Source organism: Homo sapiens, chromosome 12 (assembly GCF_000001405.40).
Source record: "Homo sapiens chromosome 12, GRCh38.p14 Primary Assembly".
Lineage (NCBI taxonomy): Eukaryota > Metazoa > Chordata > Mammalia > Primates > Hominidae > Homo > Homo sapiens.
Genome location: NC_000012.12, coordinates 25,545,652 through 25,567,835, shown reverse-complemented (window position 1 = coordinate 25,567,835; position 22,184 = coordinate 25,545,652). Strand labels below are relative to the sequence as shown.

General features: G+C 37.2%; 1 protein-coding gene across 27 annotated transcripts in view; it reads left to right on the top strand.

Annotated features, from left to right (window-relative positions):
• LMNTD1 (lamin tail domain containing 1) overlaps positions 1-22,184 on the top strand; it is a 172,497-nt gene that overhangs the window by 80,743 nt on the left and 69,570 nt on the right. For 13 of the 27 annotated variants that reach the window (XR_931277.2, XR_931276.2, XM_011520575.2 and 10 more), the window contains 3 exons: positions 14,847-14,965; positions 18,290-18,510; positions 21,282-21,462. Coding sequence is in view for 23 of the 27 variants with exons in the window: in XM_011520575.2 (XP_011518877.1) it covers positions 14,877-14,965; positions 18,290-18,510; positions 21,282-21,462 (491 nt within the window). In the remaining 4 variants the exon portion in view is untranslated. Of the gene's footprint in view, positions 1-10,466; positions 10,598-14,552; positions 14,768-14,846; positions 14,966-18,289; positions 18,511-20,484; positions 20,612-21,281; positions 21,463-22,184 lie in introns of those variants that run through there. The other 14 variants (NM_001352234.2, NM_001352233.2, NM_001352232.2 and 11 more) reach the window with 7 other exon arrangements.

The following is a 22,184-nucleotide window of genomic DNA, read 5'->3' as shown; positions in this document are numbered from 1 at the left end:
ATTTAAGTTGGCTCACAATTCTGCAGCCTGTACAGGAAGCATGGTGCTGGCATCTGCTTCTGGTGAGGGCTTCAGGGAACTTACAATCATGGTGGAAGGTGATGCAGAGTCAGCATGTCACACAGTGAGAGTGGAAGCAAGATGGCAAGGGAGGAGGTGCCACACTCTTTTAAACAACCAGATGTCATGTGAACTAACCAAGCAAGAACCAACTTGTCACCAAGGGGATGCTGCTAAACCATTCACGAGGGACCAATCCCCATGATCCCATCACCTCCCACTAGGCCCCTCATCCACACTGGGGATTACAATTCAACACATTTGGAGGGGACAAATATCCAAGCCATATCACATCATTATAAGAATAAAATGAGATAATATATGTAAAGTATTTAACACATATAGGAATCATGGTAAATAATAGCTATATAGTAGTGGTGTAATAGTATTTACTCACTATTGAGTATGGCTGACTCTGAATTGTAGAAGTATTTACTCAGAAAACTAAGGGAGAAACAGAAGCAAACAGTACAACAATAAACACTAAGAATAATAGAACAGCTGAAGAAAATTTCAAGAAAATAAAGATGTCTAAGTTGTCTTTCTTCTACTGCAGACTAGTCCATATCTGACCATAGGGTTCTTAGAGTTCAGTTTCCTAACAATGCATGAATTTTCTTATTCTATCTCAGATGTCTGGTTTTTCACATCTTTCTCACACACATGGTCTCAAACAAACAACCCAGCGTCACTTCAGACACTATGTCATCCACCCTAGTACTCTCTTTTCTGTTCCTAGTGAAAGTTGGAGGTGTCCTGCACTTACAAAAGACATAACTGGAACCTCAGGGCCTTAGTATCCTTAGCATTCTCCCAATTTCTTCCATTCTCTCATTTGCACACAAGGGAGATGTTTCTATTTACCAGCCTAAATTTGTTTACACTTCAAATTGTCAAGAGAATAATTAAAACAGTTTCATTTAGTAAACAGCATCATGGAATTCTTAAGAATAATCTGCCTTTGGTGAACTGTACCCTTCATTGACGCCCGTTGCTATCATCAAACAATGATAGGATTGTTCATCAACAGTGAGCAACCCTAACAACAAATCCTAACTTCAAATTTGTTATATGCATGGTTACCAGGGAGGAAGAAAAGACAGGGTTGAGGCCTCTCCCTGCCTGTGTTTTTACACTGGTGTTCGTTGGGCTCAACACAGTCTTATATTTGCGCCTAAAGCCATTGATAGAGCTCATGCTGGTGGGAATGTAAACTAGCACAACCACTATGGAAAACAGTGTGGAGATTTCTTAAAGAACTAAAGTAGAACTACCATTTGATCCAGCAATTCCACTACTGGGTACATACCCAGAGGAAAAGAAGTCGTTATACAAACAAGATACTTGCACTTCCGTATTTATAGCACCACAATTGGCACTTGCGAAAACGTGGAGCCAACCCAAATGGCCATCAATCAATGAGTGAATAAAGAAACTGAAGCCAAGCTATTTGAAAATACACTGTCAGAAGAGACAGAAGAAAAAAAGAATAAAAAACTATGAAGCACACTTATAGGAACTAGAAAATAGACTTGAAAGGGCAATTCTAAGAGTTATTGGCCTCAAAGAGGAGGTAGAGAAAGAGAGAGGGGTAGAAAGTTTATTCAAAGGGATAATTAAAAAGGACTTCCCAAACCTAAAAAAGATAGCAATATGCAAGTATAAGAAGCTTATAGAACACCAAGCAGATTTAACCCAAAGAAGACTACGTCAAGGTATTTAATAATCAAACTCCCAAAGATCAAGGACAAAGAAAGAATTCTAAAAGCAGTAAGAGAAAAGAAATAACCTACAATGGAGCTCCAATATGCCTGGCAGCAGACTTTTCAGTGGAAACATTACAGGCCAGGATAGAGTGGCATAACATATTTAAAGTGCTGAAGAGAAAAACAACAAAAACGTTTACACTAGAATAGTATAACCAGCAAAAATATTCTTCGAACATGAAGGAGAAATAAAGACTTTTTCAGACAATCGGAAGCTGAGGGATTTCAACACCAGATCTGTCCTGTGAGAAATGCTAAAAGGAGAACTTCAATCAGAAAGAAAAAGGATGTTGATGAGCAAAAAGAAGTCATCTGAAGATACAAAATTCACTGGTAATAGTAAATATACAGAAAAACACAGAACATTATAACACTGTAACAATGGTGTTTAAGCTACTCTTACGTAGAAGGACTAAAGGATGAACCAATCCAAAATAATAACTACAACAACTTTTCATGACACAGACAGTACAATAAGATATAAATAGAAACAACAAAATGTGAAAAAGTTGGGGACAAAGTTAAGGCACAGAGTCTTTATTAGTTTTCTTTTTGCTTGTTAGGTTGTTTATACCACAATGTTAAGTTGTTATCATCTTAAAATAATAGGTTATAAGATAGTATTTGCAAGCCTCATGATAACCTCAGAATAAGAAAACAGATAATGGATACACAAAAAATAAAAAGCAAGAAACTAAATCATATCAGCAGAGAAAATAATCTTCACTAAAAGGAAGACAGAAAGAAAAGAAAGAACAAAGAGAAGACCACAAAAAAAAACATAAAATGGCAGAAGTCAGTTCTTAGTTATAAATAATAATATTGAATGCAAATGGACTAAACTCTCCAATCAAAAGACATAGAGTGGCTGAAACACACTTCATGAATAAAAACATACATAGACTAAAAATAAAGGGATGGAAAAAGATATTATATGCCAATGGAAACCAAGAGAAGAGCAGGCAGAGCTATACTTATATCAGACAAAATAGATTTCAAGAGAAAATCTATAAGAAGAGACAAAGAAGGTCACTATATAATGATAAAGGGGTCAATTCAGCAAGAGGTTATAACAGTTTAAAATATATATGTGCCCAATACTGAAAAACCCAGATATATAAAGCAAATATTATTAGAGATAAAGAGAGAGATAGACTCCAATACAATAATAGCTAGAGACTTCACCCCACTTTCAACACTGGACAGAACTTCCAGACATAAAATCAACAAATAAACATCAGACTTAATATACACTATAGACCAGAAGGATCTAATAAATATTTACAGAACATTTCACCCAATGGCTGCAGAATACACATTCTTTTCCTCAGCACATGGATCATTCTCAAGGATAGATCATATGTTGAGTCACAAAACAAATCTTAAAACATTAAAAAAATTGAAATAATGTCTAGCATCTTCTCTGATCACAACAGAATAAAACTATAAATCAAGCCGGGCATGGTGGTTCATGCCTGTAATCCCAGCACTTTGGGAGGCTGAGGTAGGTGGATCACGAGGTCAGGAGTTCTAGATCAGCCTGGCCAACAGGGTGAAACCATGTCTCTACTAAAAATACAAAAATTAGTCAGGCGTGGTGGTGGGCACCTGTAATCCCAGTTACTTGGGAGACTGAGGCAGGAGAATTTCTTGAACCTGGAAGGCAGAGGTTGCAGTCAGCCGAGATTGTGCCACTGCCCTCCAGCCTGGGTGACAGAGCAAGACTCTTTTTGAAGGAGGAGGTTCCAAGATGGCCGAATAGGAACAGCTCCAGTCTGCAGCTCCCAGCGTGAGTGATGCAGAAGATGGGTGATTTCTGCATTTCCAGCTGAGGTACCGGGTTCATCTCACTGGGGCTTGTCAGACAGTGGGTGCAGCCCATGGAGCAGGGCGGGGCATTGCCTCACCTGGGAAGCGCGAGGGGTCAGGGAATTCCCTTTCCTAGCAAAGGGAAGCCATGATGGGTGGTACCTGGAAAATTGGGACACTCCCACCCTAATACCTAATACTGCACTTTTCCAATGGCCTTAGCAAACGGCACACCAGGAGATTATATCCCACGCATGGCTTGGAGGGTCCCACGCCTACGGAGCCTCACTCACTGCTAGCACAGCAGTCTGAGATTGAACTGCAAGGTGGCAGCGAGGCTGGGGGAGGGGCGCCCACCATTGCTGAGGCTTGAGTAGGTAAACAAAGCGGCCTGAAAGCTCAAACTGGGTGGAGCCCACTGCAGCTCAAGGAGGCCTGCCTGCCTCTGTAGAGTACACCCCTGGGGGCAGGGCATAGCTGAACAAAAGGCAGCAGAAACTTCTGCAGACTTAAACATCCCTGTCTGACAGCTTTTAAGAGAGTAGTGGTTCTCCCAGCATGGAGTTTGAGATCTGAGAACGGACAGACTCCCTCCTCAAGTGGGTCCCTGACCCCTGAGTAGCGTAACTGGGAGACATCTCCCAGTAGGGGCCAATTGACACCTCATACAGCCGGGTGCCCCTCTGAGATGAAGCTTCCAGAGGAAGGATCAGGCAGCAACATCTGCCGTTCTGCAATATTTGCTGTTCTGCAGCCTCTGGTGGTGATACCCAGGCAAACAGCGTTTGGAGTGGACCTCCAGCAAACTCTAACAGACCTGCAGCTGAGAGTCCTGACTGTTAGAAGGAAAACTAACAAACAGAAAGGACATCCACACCAAAACCCTGTCTGTACGTCACCATCATCAAAGACTAACGGTAGATAAAACCACAAACATAGGGAGAAACCAGAGCAGAAAAGCTGAAAATTCTAAAAATCAGAGCGCCTCTTCTCCTCCAAAGGAACGCAGCTACTCGCCAGCAATGGAACAAAGCTGGATGGAGAATGACTTTGACAAGTTGACAGAAGAAGGCTTCAGATGATTGGTAATAACAAACTTCTCTGAGCTAAAGGAGGATGTTCGAACCCATCACAAAGAAGATAAAAACCTTGAGAAAAGATTGGACAAATGGATAACTGGAATAAACAGTGTAGAGAAGTCCTTAAATGACCTGATGGAGCTGAAAACCATGGCACGAGAACTACGTGATGCATACACAAGCTTCAGTAGCTGATTTGATCAAGTGGAAGAAAGGGTATTAGTGATTGAAGATCAAATGAATGAAATGAAGGGAGAAGAGAAGTTTAGAGAAAAAAGAGTAAAAAGAAATGAGCAAAGCCTCCAAGAAATATGGGACTATGTGAAAAGACCAAATCTACATCGGATTGGTGTACCTGAAAGTGACGGGGAGAATGGAACCAAATTAGAAAACACTCTTCAGGATATTATCCAGGAGAACTTCCTCAACCTAGCAAGGCAGGCCAACATTCAAATTCAGGAAATACAGAGAACGCCACAAAGATACTTCTCGAGAAGAGCCAACTCCAAGACACATAATTGTCAGATTCACCAAAGTTGAAATGAAGGAAAAATGTTAAGGGCAGCCAGAGAGAAAGGTCAGGTTACCCACAAAGGGAAGCCCATCAGACTAACAGCGGATGTCCCCGCAGAAACTCTCCAAGCCAGAAGAGAGTGGGGGCCAATATTCAACATTCTTAAAGGAAAGAATTTGCAACCCAGAATTTCATATCCAGCCAAACTAAGCTTCATAAGTGAAGGAGAAATAAAATCCTTTACAGACAAACAAATGCTGAGAGATTTTGTCACCACCAGGCCTCCCTTACAAGAGCTCTTGAAGGAAGCACTAAACATGGAAAGGAACAATCGTTACAAGCCACTGCAAAAACATGGCAAATTGTAAAGACCATCAATGCTAGGAAGAAACTACATCAATAATGAGCAACATAACCAGCTAACATCATAATGACAGGATCAAATTCACACATAACAATATTAACCTTAAATGTAAATGGGCTAAATGTTCCAATTAAAAGGCACAGAGTGGCAAATTACATAAAGAGTCAAGACCCATCAGTGTGCTGTATTCAGCAGACCCATCTCATGTGCAGAGACACACATAGGCTCAAAATAAAGGGATGGAGGAAGATCTACCAAGCAAACGGAAAACATAAAACAGCAGGGGTTGCAATCCTAGTCTCTGATGAAACAGACTTTAAACCAACGAAGATCAAAGAGACAAAGAAGGCCATTACATAATGGTAATGGGATCAATTCAACAAGAAGAGCTAACCTAAATATATATGCACCCAATACAGGAGCACCCAGATTCATAAAGCAAGTCCTGAGAGACCTACAAAGAGACTTAGACTCCCACAGAATAATAATGGGAGATTTTAACACCCCACTGCCAACATTAGACAGATCAACGAGACAGAAAGTTAACAAGGATATCCAGGACCTGAACTCAGCTCTGCACCAAGCAGACCTAATAGACATCTACAGAACTCTCCACCCCAAATCAACAGAGTATACATTCTTCTCAGTACCACATCACACTTATTCCAAAATTGACCACATAGTTGAAAGTAAAGCACTCCTCAGCAAATGTAAAAGAACAGAAATTATAAGGAACTATCTCTCAGACCACAGTGCAATCAAACTAGACTCAGGATTAAGAAACTCACTCAAAACTGCTCAACTACATGGAAACTGAACAACCTGCTCTTGAATGACTACTGGGTACATAACGAAATGAAGGCAGAAATAAAGATTTCTTTGAAACCAAGGAGAACAAAGACACAATGAACCAGAATCTCTGGGACACATTTAAAGCAGTGTGTAGAGGGAAATTTATAGCACTAAATGCCCACAAGAGAAAGCAGGAAAGACCTAAAATTGACACCCTAACATCACAATTAAAAGAACTAGAGAAGCAAGAGCAAACAAATTCAAAAGCTAGCAGAAGGCAAGAAATAACTAAGATCAGAGCAGAACTGAAGGAGATAGAGACACAAAAAACCCTTCAAAAAATCAATGAATCAAGGAGCTGGTGTTTTGAAAAGATCAACAAAATAGTGTTGGAAATTCTGGCCAAGGCAATCGGGCAAGAGAAAGAAAAAAAGGGTATTCAATTAGGAAAAGAGAAAGTCAAATTGTCCCTGTTTGCAGATGACATGATTGTATATTTAGAAAACCCCATCATCTCAGGCCAAAATCTCCTTAAGCTGATAAGCAACTTCAGCAAAGTCTCAGGATACAAAATCAATGTGCAGAAATCACAAGCATTCCTATACATCAATAACAGACAAACAGAGAGCCAAATCATGAGTGAACTCCCATTCACAATTGCTTCAAAGAGAATAAAATATCTAGGAATCCAACTTATAAGGGATGTGAAGGAGAAACACAAACCACTGCTCAATGAAATCAAAGAGGACACAAACAAATGGAAGAAGATTTGGTGCTCATGGATAGGAAGAATCAATATTGTGAAAATGGCTATATCCCCCAAGGTAATTTATAGATTCAATGCCATCCCCATCAAGCTACCAATGACTTTCTTCACAGAATTGGAAAAAAACTACTTTAAAGTTCATATGGAACCAAAAAAGAGCCCTCATTGCCAAGACCATCCTAAGCCAAGAAAGCAAAGCTGGAGGCATCATGCTACCTGACTTCAAACTATACTACAAGGCTAGAGTAACCAAAACAGCATGGTACTGGTACCAAAACAGAGATATAGATCAATGGAACAGAACAGAGCTCTCAGAAATAATGCCACATATCTACAACTATCTGATCTTTGACAAACCTGACACAAACAAGCAATGGGGAAAGGATTCCCTATTTAATAAACGGTGCTGGGAAAACTGGCTGGCCATATGTAGAAAGCTGAAACTGGATCCCTTCCTTACACCTTATACAAAAATTAATTCAAGATGGATTGAAGACTTAAATGTTAGACCTAAAACCATAAAATCCCTAGAAGAAAACCTAGGCAATACCATTCAGGACATAGGCATCGGCAAGGACTTCATGTCTAAAACACCAAAAGCAATGGCAACAAAAGCCAAAATTGACAAATGGGATCTAATTAAACTAAAGAGCTTCTGCACAGCAAAAGAAACTACCATCAGAGTGAACAGGCAACTTACAGAATGGGAGAAAATTTTTATAATCTACCCATCTGACAAAAGGCTAATATCCAGAATCTACAAAGAACTTAAACAAATTTGTAAGAAAAAATCAACCCCATCAAAAAGTGGGCAAAGGATATGAACAGACACTTCTCAAAAGAAGACATTTATGCAGTGAACAGACACGTGAAAAAATGTTCATCATCACTGGCCATCAGAGAAATGCAAATCAAAACCACAATGAGATACCATCTCACACCAGTTAGAATGGCGATCATTAAAAAGTCAGGAAACAACAGGTTCTGGAGAGGATGTGGAGAAATAGGAACACTTTTACACTGTTGGTTGGACTGTAAACTAGTTCAACCATTGTGGAAGACAGTGTGGTGATTCCTCAAGGATCTAGAACTAGAAATACCATTTGACCCAGCCATCCCATTACTGGACATATAACCAAAGGATTATAAATCATGCTGCTATAATGACACATGCACACACATGTTTATTGCGGCATTATTCACAATAGCAAAGAGTTGGAACCAACCCAAATGTCCATCAATGATAGACTGGATTAAGAAAATGTGTCACATATACACCATGGAATACTATGCAGCCATAACAAAGGACGAGTTCATGTCCTTTGAAGGGACGTGGATGAAGCTGGAAACCATCATTCTGAGCAAAGTATTGCAAGGACAGAAAACCAAACACCCCATGTTCTCACTCATAGGTGGGAATTGAACAATGAGAACACTCGGACACAGGGTGGGGAACATCACACACTGGGGCCTTTCATGGGGTGGGGGCAGGGGGGAGGTATAGCATTAGGAGATATACCTAATGTAAATGACGAGTTAACGGGTGCAGCATACCGACATGGCATGTGTATGCATATGTAACAAACCCACATGTTGTACACATGTACCCTAGAACTTAAAGTATAATAATAATTATAATAATTATGCAGGAAGTATAGTGATTAAATAAAATTGGGGGATTAGCATTCTAAAAAAAAAGACTGTCTCAAAAAAAAAAACTGTAAGTCAATGACAAGAGAAATTTTGGAAATTATACAAATACACGTGATATTGTTTGGCTCTGTGTCCCCACCCAAATCTCACCTTGAATTGTAGTAACCCCCACGTGTCATGGGAGGGACTCAATGGGAAGTAATTGAATCATGGAGGTGGGTTTTTCCCATGCTGTTCTTATGATAGTGACTAAGTCTTATGACATCTGATGGTTTTATAAAGGGAGTTCCCCTGCACATGCTCTCTTGCCTGCCGCCATGTGAGACAACCCTTTGCCCTTCCTTTGTCTTCCGCTATGATTGTGAGGCCTCCCCGGCCATGTGGAAATGTGAGGCCATTAAACGTCTTTTCTTTATAAATTACCCAGTGTCGGATATGTCTTTGTTAGCAGCATGAGAACAGACTAATACAACATAGAAATTAAACAATATGCTCCTAAATGACCAGTGAGTCAATGAGGAAATTAAAAAGAAAATTGAAAATTTCTTGAAACAAATAATGGAAACACATATACCAAAACCTATGGAATATAGCAAAAGCAGTACTAAGAGGGAATTTTATAGCTGTAAGTGCCTACGTCAAAAAAGAAGAAAAATTTCAAATAACAGGTCTGATGATGCATCTGAAGAACTAGAAAAATAAGAGCAAACCAAACCCAAAATCAGTAGAAGAAATAATAAAGATCAGAGCAGAAACAAATGAAACTGAAATGAAAACAATACAAAAGATCAATAAAACAAAAAGTTGGTTTTTTGAAAAGTTAAACAAAATTGACAAACCTTTAGCCAGACTAAGAATAAAAGAGAAGATCCAAATAAATAAAGTCAGAGATGAAAAAGGAGACATTACAACTGATACTGATCTTTCTTACTCCTTTAATTGAGTGCTCCTCTCATAGGTTAAAATTTTTACATATTTTAAACAGGGTTCCTAGGGGGCGCTAGTGTTCCATAAACTAGAGAATCAATATTTGGCTGTTATGTTGAATAATGACTGCCTTTATCCTGTTTGCAGAGGGAATAAAAGCTAATGAATAGAATTTCTCAATTCAAATTGTTCTCCAATAATGTGTTACAGGCTTTGGCTCCAGACTACTTTTCTGCTAGAGATTGCCCATATATGATAGAAGAAAATGAAACTGCAAATTTATATCAATAGGAAACCTCAAAATTAACTATTTGCTCTTGGTTCAACCATTTGTTGGGTGTTATTTTGTTTCAAGACACATGGGCTGGTGGTTGTGATTTCATAAGATAGATTAAAAGAGTATAGGTGAAATAAATGTATTGGTTTGTATTTTTTTAAAAATTACTATACAGAATATAGTGTTCTGCAAATAAGAGCAAATGTTATGAATCTTTGTCTCCTGAACAAGTCTGAGGTGTCCTGACTTGACTTGGAAAAATAAGTGCTATATTCCTCTAAAGAGTATGAATAGAAAAGATTTGCAGACAGACTACTCCTAAAATACATGTAATGTGTAAAGTAATTAGACAGTTATTTTGAACTATTGCTAAAATTGGTATGTCTGAGGATTCAAACCAGTGTTTGAGACTCAGCCTCAGAAATGCAGATCTAAGACCTTAGTGTTGTTTTTCAACAGGATTTTGTGATTGGGAAGCTCCATGAAGATTACTTTGAACAAACTGTCTGAAACTTGAAACTTCCAATACATGTCCTCTAGCCTCTCTTGAAATACCCCTCGTAGGAGCTTAATGTGACTCTAACTTGAAGGTAAAATAATAGCATCTGTGTCTGAGGCTGTTATTACACGTGGATCTGTGTAAAAGAAATGAATTGACTGAGTACATTTTTGGACTAGCAAAAGGCTTTATAATAGGAATTTATACTATTTTTATGTGGGTGTAAATATGAAATTGAATTCCTACAATTGTATTCCAAACTCTTTGAATCTTAGATAATGGAACATGTCATAGTGTTTAAAATTGTAGTCCTGAACTGATTATTACTCAACTGCATATTACCCATGGCCTGAGAGGGGAAGAAAACTATCTTTATATATGCTGCCTTCATTCACACAAGACATTTTATTTGTATTACCAATTTAATAAAATCTCTTGCTGTGCAAATCTTCTCCACATGTGGAGGCAGAGAACTAAAATATATAAAGCCAGTTCTTTGTGTTCTTCAAATCTTTAAAAATTGTGTATATGTAATATTTTGTCTGTTTTTTAAACTTAAGAATATGGAATTTTGCCACTTTTAATTTTTTCTTAAGGTAGAAATCTCACAACATGAAACTCAGTTTTCATTACCCTAATTTGACCCACATCTACTCTTATGGGGCTTCAATTCCCCAGCAAAATTCTCGTACTTTCCCAACGCGGGGTAAAGGCAAAGAGAATTGACAGAGTGCCAAGAAGACAGAGGAGAGAGTGATTTGAGATGATTTGAGACCAGACCAGAAAAAGCAGGATGAAGCTGGTTCAGGAATGGACAAGCATTTAGGCAGATACCACAGAAAAAGGAAGATATGGAACAAGAGTAAAGCAGAAACAGCAAGTACAGTGAGGAGGTCTCTCTAATAGATGGATGAGACTAAATCTTGGCTCTGCCATTTACTGGCTGTATAAGCTTGGAAGAGGTATTTCATCTCTTGGAACTTCCACTTCCTCATTTGGAAAATGGGGAAATTCTCATCTTCTAGAGCTGTGGTGAAAGAACCGTATAAAGATTATTGCACTGGCACAATGGCTCACACCTGTAATCCCAACACTTTGGGAAGCCGAGGCAGGCAAATCACTTGAGGTCGGGAGTTCAAGACCAGCCCGGCCAACATGGCGAAACCTCGTCTCTACTAAAAATACAAAAATTGGCCGGGCGTGGTGGCACATGCCTGTAGTCCTAGCTACTTGGGAGGCTAAGGCAGTAGAATCACTTGAACCTAGGAGGCAGAGGTTGCAGTGAGCCGAGATTGCACCATTGCACTCCAGCCTGGATGACACAGCGACATCCATCTCAAAAAAAAAAAAAAAAAAAAAAAAAAGATTATTGCACCTCATGCACCTCTGCTTCTTCCTTTCAGTTCTTGCTGACCCTCTCCTTCCTGAGCAGACACAGCCATGTTGATGACACCATTAACATTTGAGTCTGTGCATCCCAAACTGAGGCTTCTATTTTAGTCTTTTTGCTATGGAGAACTTAGATATTTGCAGTCAAAAATAATCATAATCTATAATGAATCTCCATGTAACTATTACTCAGCTTTAATAATTACAAGTCATGGCCCAACTTTTTCATCTACATTCTCATCTGCTTCCTACTGTCTGTATTCATTAGAAACAGAGGACGTCATATCATTTTATCTATAAATGTTTTAGTATGTATCACTAAAAGATAAGAACCCTTTTCAAAAAACATAATCATGACACCATATCACACCTAAAATATTTACCAGTTATTCCTTAATATCATTAAGTACCATGTGCTTAAGTTTCTACTGTCTTATAAATTTCTACAGTTTGCTTGAATTAGGATATGTTATATCCACAAATTACAAAAAGTGTCTTTTAAATTTCTTAGTTGATTAGCTAATGTGCTCTTCTGTTTCCTGTATTACATGTAAAGCAGAGGATTCATCAGATTCAGGTTGATTTTGTTGCTGCTGATGGTATTATTGCTACTGTTATTCTCTGTCCAATAAGTTGTATCAACCACATGAATACTACCAAGTTGTATTGCTATTGGTGATGTAATTTTTTCCAAACTGATAACTCTTGGAAACGTCTGAACAAATCAATATAGAGTCTTTCCGGAATTTAAACAATAAATAGTTACATCCTAAAGACTTTGGTATATACTAAAACTGCAAAAATATTTTGTATTTATATGACATATAGAGCTAGGCTTTAGGTTCATATAATTCTAATCTTTTTTTTTTTTTTTTAATGACGGAGACTGGTTCTGTCACCCAAGCTGGAATGCAGTGGCACGATCTCAGCTCACTGCAACTCCACATCCCCGGTTCAAGCGATTCTCCTGCCTTAGCCTCCAGAGTAGCTGGGATTACAGGCACCCGCCACCACACCCAGCTGATTTTTGTATTTTTTTAGTAGAGACGGGGTTTCATCATGTTGGCCAGACTGGTCTTGAACTCCTGACCTCAAGTAATTCACTCCCTTTGGCCTCCCAAAGTGCTGGGATTACAGGTGGGAACCACTGTGCCTGGCCAGATAATTGTAATCTATTTTTCACCTGCATGAATGCCTAGAAAGGCACGTGTCATGTGGGAACACTATTTACTAAGTAGGATTATCTGCCACATTGTGGAAAGTCTAGCATCTCTGGGTTCTGTCTACCAAATGCCACTAATACCCGACCCGAATCTTTAATGACTACTATCAACATCCTCTTACATTTACAAAATGCTCTCTATGGTTCACTTTGGCCCCTGTTGAAAACCACTAAATTAGTTTAAGCAACAACAAAAGAGGAAATTGGTTTTCATTGCATATATACAGTAATTTAAGAAAAGGAAATAAGAAAAATGTCTACTATGGGGAATGAGTATTGAAACACTCACAACTTCAAAGCCTTCAAAAGTTTTTCTCAGCTGACAGAATTTTATTTCTCCAAAATATGTTGGAAAATATGAGCAGGCTCTCTGATAAAACCAATGAGGTCATAACGACTTTATGCTAATATATGCAGTTCAAGTAGAGAAATTTTTAACAGCTAGAAAGCCATCCAGACTGGTACAGGTAGGGAGACTGGGAGAGTGACAAGAAATGACAAGCCCATTTTTAATTCTTTACTAAGCGTAAGTAAAAATTTATAAACCTTCTGATGCTATATTTACATAATTGGCCCATAATGTTCATAAGGAATTGTGCTTCATCTCTGAGAGGGAGGAAATACGGTCAAACGTTTACTTCCTTTTAACTTACCTTATTACGTGTTACACGTCTTGACTTTTTCTTTTTGGCTTTTTAAGACAGTTACTTTATTGTCTTTAAAAATCATTTTCAAATCTATATTAGAAGATATTTTAGTATTATTTCTGAAAGCAGGTATTGTTTATTCATGGTACCTAGCCAGTTTTTAAGAAATAGTAGAATCTTATTAACTATTTTTAATAAGCTTACTCATCCAGTAATCATCATTTATATATCTTATTACTGTATATAATCATGTACTTTCATAGTTATTAATTTTATTGCCATACTATCATTATCATGAAACATTAAGTGTGAGTGTTTTACACAGAGGAGAAACTGAATTAAGTGATTTCTTCTAAATCATACTGCTGGCATAACTAGGAGAAGAATTTAGGTGTTCTGGCTTTGATTTTATGATTTCTACCAATAGACTTCTTTTTGCATTGAAGTTTTATGGTTTCTATTCTTGCTGCCTAGCTGTTTCCATGTGCTCAAAGTATTTGTCCAGAGAGAGAGAAAGAAAAAAAAGAAGAAAAGAGTTGTGATTAATTTCCCCAGTATGTACATACTGGCCTTGACTCTTAGAAATACAAAACAAGATATCAATAATTTTGGTGGCAAAGTCTAGTGGAAGATATGGCTTTCCTAAGAGCAAATTACTTTATTTAATGTCTGCAAACTGCAAAGAAGGTACAGCATCAACATAGGAATTGTTCAGAAACTGGAACTTGGTTACTATGGAGACATTACCTCATAGTTCTAAGAGGCAGTGTTGGCCAGAAGCAACAACTGTAGTCATAAAGGTCTCTTTGCCAAGTTACTGCCCTCTCAAGCTGCTTCCAGTGAATGCTACACACCTGCACCATGGTTTGTCCGACATCCTTAGCCAAGATCAGGATTGGCTATGTTGGTACTTACATATCCTCATGAGAATTGTGGTTCTGGTACTAGTTTGGTAAAGAAATTATTAAACCTAGCTGATGCTTGAAGGTAGTTGGATTAACAGGTGAGGTCACTTTGAAAAGAAAAATCTGCCTTGAACCTCAGCCATATTCGTCATCTGATGTCATGATCTGCTTTCCTAGGAAAGAAAAGAGACTTCTTTTCTAGCCAAGATGAAAGATACACAAGACATTCAGGAAGCTTCGAAGGCAATGCAGAATAAAGTCCATGAGCAGGAAGATAAGAATGAGAAACAAAAACAGTGAGCATGCATAGATGCGATGGAAGCAGAGTTAGAGCTGAGTTATAGAGGAGGAATGATGGCATGCTTGACCTCTTTTGTTTCAATACTCTTATGAACCAGTTAGAACTAGAATATATCTCACAAATTTTCTAGAAATAATGGACTGTAGCATACAACTACTTCCACAACTACTGTTTTAGAAGGTTCTAGTCCTTGAGAAGTATAAAAATCCACCTGGACAGATCTCCATAGTATAAGACCTAGCTGAGATTCCAGCCAAAGTTCCGTTTTTTTTTTTTTTTTTTTTCAGACAGAGTGCAGTGGCGCGATCTTGGCTCACTGTAAGCTCCGCCTCCCGGTTTCACGCCATTCTCTTGCCTCAGCCTCTCGGAGTAGCTAGGACTACAGGCGCCCGCCACCACGCCCGGCTAATTTTTTGTATTTTTAGTAGAGACGAGGTTTCACCGTGGTCTTGATCTCCTGACCTCGTGATCTGCCCGCGTCGGCCTCCCAAAGTGCTGGGATTACAAGCGTGAGCCACCGCGCCTGGCCTCCAAAGTTCCCATTTAATATGTTAAGTCAATTTACAGAAATAGTTTCTTTCTAGAACTATTTTACAGAACTGGGGACAAAAAAATTACCAGAATATTGGTTTTGGAAATGTCCGTAAGAATGTTATATAAAATTATAATCCCTATTTTTACATTTAATATAAATCATTCATCAACTAAAGCATTACCATTGGTTTTCCAATGTTTTCTTTAAAATTGACTTATTGAGTATACATAATTTAAAGCTATTGTTACTTTGGACCTACAAGTCCTATGTTTATTGTTCAGTCCAAGTCCATTTTTAAATATTTGTTCTTAGAGGTCCTCTGAGAAATGATTGTCGTCAATATTATCAATGCAGCGTCTCCCAAAGTAACATTGAAATGCTAGACTTGAGCTTTTGTAACTGCCCCTGTTTTAATGTTAATCAATTACGGAGGGAGTGAGATACCAAGAAGGGGCTTAGAAAATTACTTATGCTTAAGGGAAAGTTAACTAACCACTGAGAAAAATCTCTCATCTTCCAAAAGAAGACTAATAGGTAGGCAAGTGGAAGGTTCAGGTGATGGGCTGTATCACACGAGTTTGTTCCTGAAATGTCTCAGCTCTTTCAAAGATGTGTGCAGCCATTAGAAATTTCTTATTCGGCCAGGCATAGTGGCTCATGCCTGTAATTCCAGCAATTTGGGAGGCCAAGGCAAAAGAATCACTTGAGGCCAGGAGTATTAGAGACAGCCCGGGCAACATAGCAACACCACATGTCTACAAAATTTTTTTCAAAATTAGCAGGCATAGTGCCATGTGCCTGTAGTCTCAGCTACTTGGGAGGCTGAGGCGGGAGGATCACTTGAACCCAGGAGTTGGTGGTTGCAGTAAACTATGATTGTACCACTGTACTCCAGCCTGGATGACAGAGAGAGACCCTGTCTCATAAAAAAAGAAAAGAAAAGAAAAAAATTTCTTATTCACCTACCAAAATAAGAACACCCTATAGCTCCAGGACAGGTTTCTGTGATTGCAAAGATTTTGTTAAGCCTTCTTGGGAGTCTTCTGTGGAATTAAATTTATTTTAAAGTGCTATTGTTTTACTAGAGGAAAAAAATTGAGATCTTATAAAATGAACATGCTGAAAAGAATAGCCAGTCTGTTATGAAGCCCAGATGTAAGGAATGTTGAAAGAGAAAAGCATTTCTCTGCATTTCTCTGCTGTTGTAGTCAATGTCAGGGAGAAGTCGTGTCTTACAATCCTGTCTCATGTTGAACACAGATGAAATATCTGTAATCTGACAGTTTACCTCTAAAGTCTCCTTCCCACTACCTCTACGGTCATACTCAATAGTGTATCTTCATAGGTTAGAGCTTTTCTGACAAATATGAATGCTTGGAGTGTCAGCAGGATGTTAAGTGCACATGCTTCTTAAGCACTGGGCTAGTAATCATGACATTTTCAAAGCCAATGCCATTTAATTATTTTAAAAATTTGCCTGAGATGTCTGTGTCTGCTGAGAGGCACATTAAAGAGCAGTCTAGTTTTGAATACAAAACTCTCCAGGTATAAGATTTCTGATAAAGGAACTTTCACATTGTAGAACAAAATGATTGTGAATACCTCTTGGTAAACAGAGATATTGAGGGTGACAGCAGCAAGATGGCAGAGTAGGAAACTCCAGGCCCTCATTCTCCTGTAAGAACCTGAAAGAACAACAAGGAGAGGTTGGCTAACATAATCTTATAAGAGCTTTGGGAAATAGATCAAAACAGAGATAATTCATGGAGGCAAAATAATTAGTTCCTGACTTATAGTGGATAGATATGTGGACCCCCAGAAAGGGGATGGCTGAACTGGCCATTTGTCTCATTTTTCAGAGAAATAAAGGGTTTGGATTGGAGGATTTTGTTCACAATTTAAGCACTGAACACGCATGCATACACACATGCACCCACAAAAATTGCTTTGACGTCACTGGGAAGAGCCTCAGTGTGACTCATAAAATGAAACGTCCTAAGTCTTTTCAGGATTCATGTCAATGAAGTGTTGTTTAACTTGTAAAATAATTGTACTGAAGCTTATGAACCTTGTTCAAATGATTGTGCACTAGTTAACAAATGTTCCTTTAGATATAAAAAGGAAATCTTTGTTCATAGTAAGATTCACTTATAAAAATAGTACACGAAAATGATCTTTCTTCTCCCTCTATTCTGTCATTCCCTCCAATACACATACACACACACAAACATGTACAGTTTATTTGAAGGCAGACATTCACTAAACAATCTTAATTAATATAGAAAAGTTAGTTAAGCAGCAACAAGAATTAAAGGAAAAGCATATAGGAAACAATGATATATTAAACCAGAATTATAATCATGATTTTATGATAACGGAAAGGGAAAATAATGGTAAGTGATCAAAGTGGAGGTATAAATGGCTTATAAAGTCTCCACTTAGAGTAAAAAGTACATTTAAAAGCCTGGAAGGAGATGGTAAAATGTCTTGTTGGTGGCATTGTAATGATTAGTATTATCTTTTTTCTACTTACACATTTTCAGAACTATCTACAATAGAAATTTGTTAATTTTCAAATATTTTTAAAGCATACAACATATTGATAATAAAGTGTTTTATTTAGATTGTTAAAACTAGAAATACAAGATGTTATTGTGCTTGTGTTGGATGCATATTACCTTTGAAAAGCAGAATTCTGGGTAATAATAATAGCCCATGCTTCTTTTATTCACAGCCACTTTTACTTTCTTATTTATTTATTTATATTATATTTTTTGTACACAGAAGAGAAGACAAACTTGGAGTATATTCTTTAGTACATTTTTCCCCAAAGATGTTGGGTTCAGTTGCCACAACACTGCCATTGTCATCTTCAAATTCCAGTGGAATGCCTCTTGGTTACTATCTGTCTAGTCCTCAGATTAGTAGAGTAACTATATCAACAACTGGACAATTGACTTCTAAAGCTACTGTAGGTAGCTGTTCCAGAGTGGAAAACAGCTTGGGTAAGCAAAATATGGAACCCATATTTTTAGAGTACTTTTAAAGCTTATATTTCAATAGATTGCATATATGACTCTCAGTCAGAATGATGTTTTATTATTACTCCCCCAAAATGCTAACTTCCTAGCATCTTATGAAAAGTAACTTAACTATGGTCATCACTGATCCTAGAACTGGGGTATTAAATTCAGGCCACATACATGCATGTGCCAAATATATCATCCTTATAATTAAGGTATCTTGAGTTATCATGATGGTTCATGAGTTGACCGCTAACATACATTAGAATTGCTAGAGAATTAAAAATTCCAATGTATAGCATTAACTGCCCTTCCTCTGAACACTACCAGAAGGATTAAATACCAGAAGGATTGTGTATTTTGTGCCTTTACGAGATGTATGGCTTAAGTAACGAATAGACAGGTAGATGAGACAAAGAAGTAACATAAAGTAGGTATAAAATAATGGAGAGAAAATGGTAAAACAATAAAGAGAACTTGAAGGAGAGGAAAATGAAAACAGTACTATGATCAGAAAAAGTAAAGTTTTGACTATTATCAACAATGTGCTCAGCAATACCCATGCTCTAGGGTGTTTGTTTCTCACCATGTTTAGGGAACTTTGAGGGTGTGTTTCCGTGGTTTACTGAAAACACTATCATCCTTTGAAACACAGGACCTACTGTTTTTCTACAATGTTAGGCACCAGGTAGAGTACGTAACATCTCTGCATCTCATTTTCCACAAATGCAAATGGGGATTAAAATAGAAATGTCACAGGGCTATCCTAAAGATTAAATATTTATGAAAATTACCTAGCACATAATAAATACTCAATAAACATTAGTTATGAATCTGAACTTACCTGTAAGCACCTTCTTTTAAAATAGATGAGATTTGGGGTTTGTGTTTCAATTGCCAATCAACTAACAAGTTTCAAGTTTCAAAACTGGTAGCACAAATAGTCCAGTGACTATCTGATGCCTCCATTATCCTCTAACATTCTGTGCCCATTTACAGCCTGGCTGCCCCTCATCTATATTTCATTTTGTTTCTAATATATTTCATTTTGTTTCTGATATTTTAAAAAAATCTTTGACATGGGTTATATAGGGTTTTTTTTTCTCCTGCCATTATGGTCAGATTCCCTATGTTTCATTTTTTGTATGACAAGTATAAAATTTCCCAAGAAACCTCCTAAGTTTACATTGACCTTTAGGATGACCAAAACCCATATACTGAAAATGAAAATACAAATTTTAGATCTGGGAAGAAAAGATTTTCTATCATTCATCATTATATCATCATGGCATATGTTCTATATTTGGGTTAAACTTTGGCTCCTTGTAATGGGGCAAAAAAATGAAATACAGTGGCTTCCCCTTATGGTATGGGAGCTGAATTGGGATGTAGTCTTCTCCTTCCATTACTGTAGATTCCACTTCTCTAGATAGATGTATAGGTTCACTGAGATTTGTTGCACTTGGTTCATTGTTATCTTTTGTTCTAGACAAAATAACAACTGGGACCAAAGTTAATGTGTCTTCTTTTCTTTTGGAATACCAAGGCTTTTATTTCTCAAGATGAGCTGTTAAGAAAGATGCTGTATATTATCCTTCCCCAAAGGAATTTAAGGATTAAGGAAGTACTTGACTGAGAATGAACTAATGTAATTCCAAATGCTTTTTTTTTCTCAGCAAAATACTTTGAGGAATCTGCTTTAAAAACGATGATTTTATTTCTTTATATCTTTCACCTTGTTTTGGTTTTGCTAAAGATGTAAGATTTAAACTCTAGATTGTCTTAATCCTTTGAGGATTTTGGACCGAGAGTCACATTAACCAAAACTCTGTACTGTAATAATAGCTATCATTTATTAGCAGATAAATATTAAATATTATGCTAGACACTTACATGATCTCCAGCTCTCTTATCTCCTTACACAAGGTGGTGATGGTATCTTTATTTTATGTTCAGGAAAACGGAAACTTGGAAAACTTACATCACGTGGCTTAGTAAATGGCAGAACTGAAATATAATTACAAGTCTGTCTAAATGCAAGACACGTTGTTCTTTCCACTTCATCACGACGCGTCTTTGTAATGTAACTCCCCCTTTGCGGATATATTATTAGATTTGTCCAGAATGGCTCTTTATGCTTAAAATTATGAAAACTATATTGTATTTGAATCAAAGTAGTGAGGATTTAAAAGAGCAAACTTCTAATAGGACACTGGAATCTGATTAAGCATGACTTTATCTTTCTAATAAAGTATTTTAATTAAATAGAGGAAGTTTAAGTCTTTACCTGGCAAGAGTACTAACCATTGCAGGAAAGGATTCATATGAGGCTTTAACTTATGGGTAGCCATTTGGGAATTTTAGCATACATGAAGTAGAATAAGGCTATATTTATATGTAACATATCTAAATTTGACAGACTAAAATGTTTTCCCTATTTCAAAATGGATGATGCTTCTAGTACAACTAAATAATCAGTTAAATAGTCATTATTCTAATGATATAATTTATTGTTTAAGATAACTGAAATACTCTTTAGGAACTGAAGATGTCACTATAAATATCCACTTACTGATTATTTTATAGGCTTTTGTTTAAAGCTTCTAACTATTCTCATTAAGTTTGATAGTGATATTAAAATGTAAAAATATAATTTTGTAGAAGCAGAGAATAAAGATAATGGCTTTAGGTCCTTTTAATGTCATTTTATTTACTTCTTTCCTGGTTACTTCTTTCTTCTGTCTACTTGAAAGATGCCAGCCCCTTCTCAGTTCCGAAGAAACAGGATGAATCACCCATGATTGGGGATGGAGAAGATTATTTCCTTTCTTTGTTTGGTGATTCAAAGAAACTTACAGCACACTCAAACTACACTCAGAAAACTTTAAAATACTTTTCTATGATTCTTGAAGAAGTTGGCCAATTTACCTCCAGGTACATATTTTATTTGAACTACTTAGTATCTTCTGTCGGGGTAGGACCAATAAATCAGCAGAAAACAAAGTTCTAATCTGTAGTTATATGCATTATTTTATCTAAAACACTAATCAGTTCATTGAAATATAACTGTTTCATCTTCTGAGCAATTAAAATAAATTGATATAATGGTCTAAAGAACCAAACAAGAAATGTGACTTCTTCAAAGATGCCAGAGTAAACAATGCTACATAATCTTTACTAATAGGGTCAACTCAATTATTCAAGGCACTTTTTTATCGTTGTTGAATTATTTAGATGGATCTAATATATATATTTTCTTCTAGTAGCTCTTGAGTTCAAGACAGAAGGAGAAAGATAAATTTTTACTTCATTGATCCATTTTTATGACTGTTAGTATCTATGCAAAAAGAAATTGATCAGGAAGAAAGTTGATATTAAGACTAAAATAAAAGAGTTATGATCAATTCATTTATATTAATATAACCATGCCTTACTTATTACATGAACAACATACTGAATTTGAAATGCTAGTAATAAGACATGTTGATAGAAGTTGTTAGATGGCTAAAAGAAATCAGAGTTGAGGGTCAGATATGAAGGAAATTTTCTCTCCCTTTATGCCATGTTTCCTAAAATCAATCACCCATGCCCTATTACAATTTAACAGTGGAGAATACCTAAGCATTTTTCTCTACTGTCTAAAAACACCTCATCAG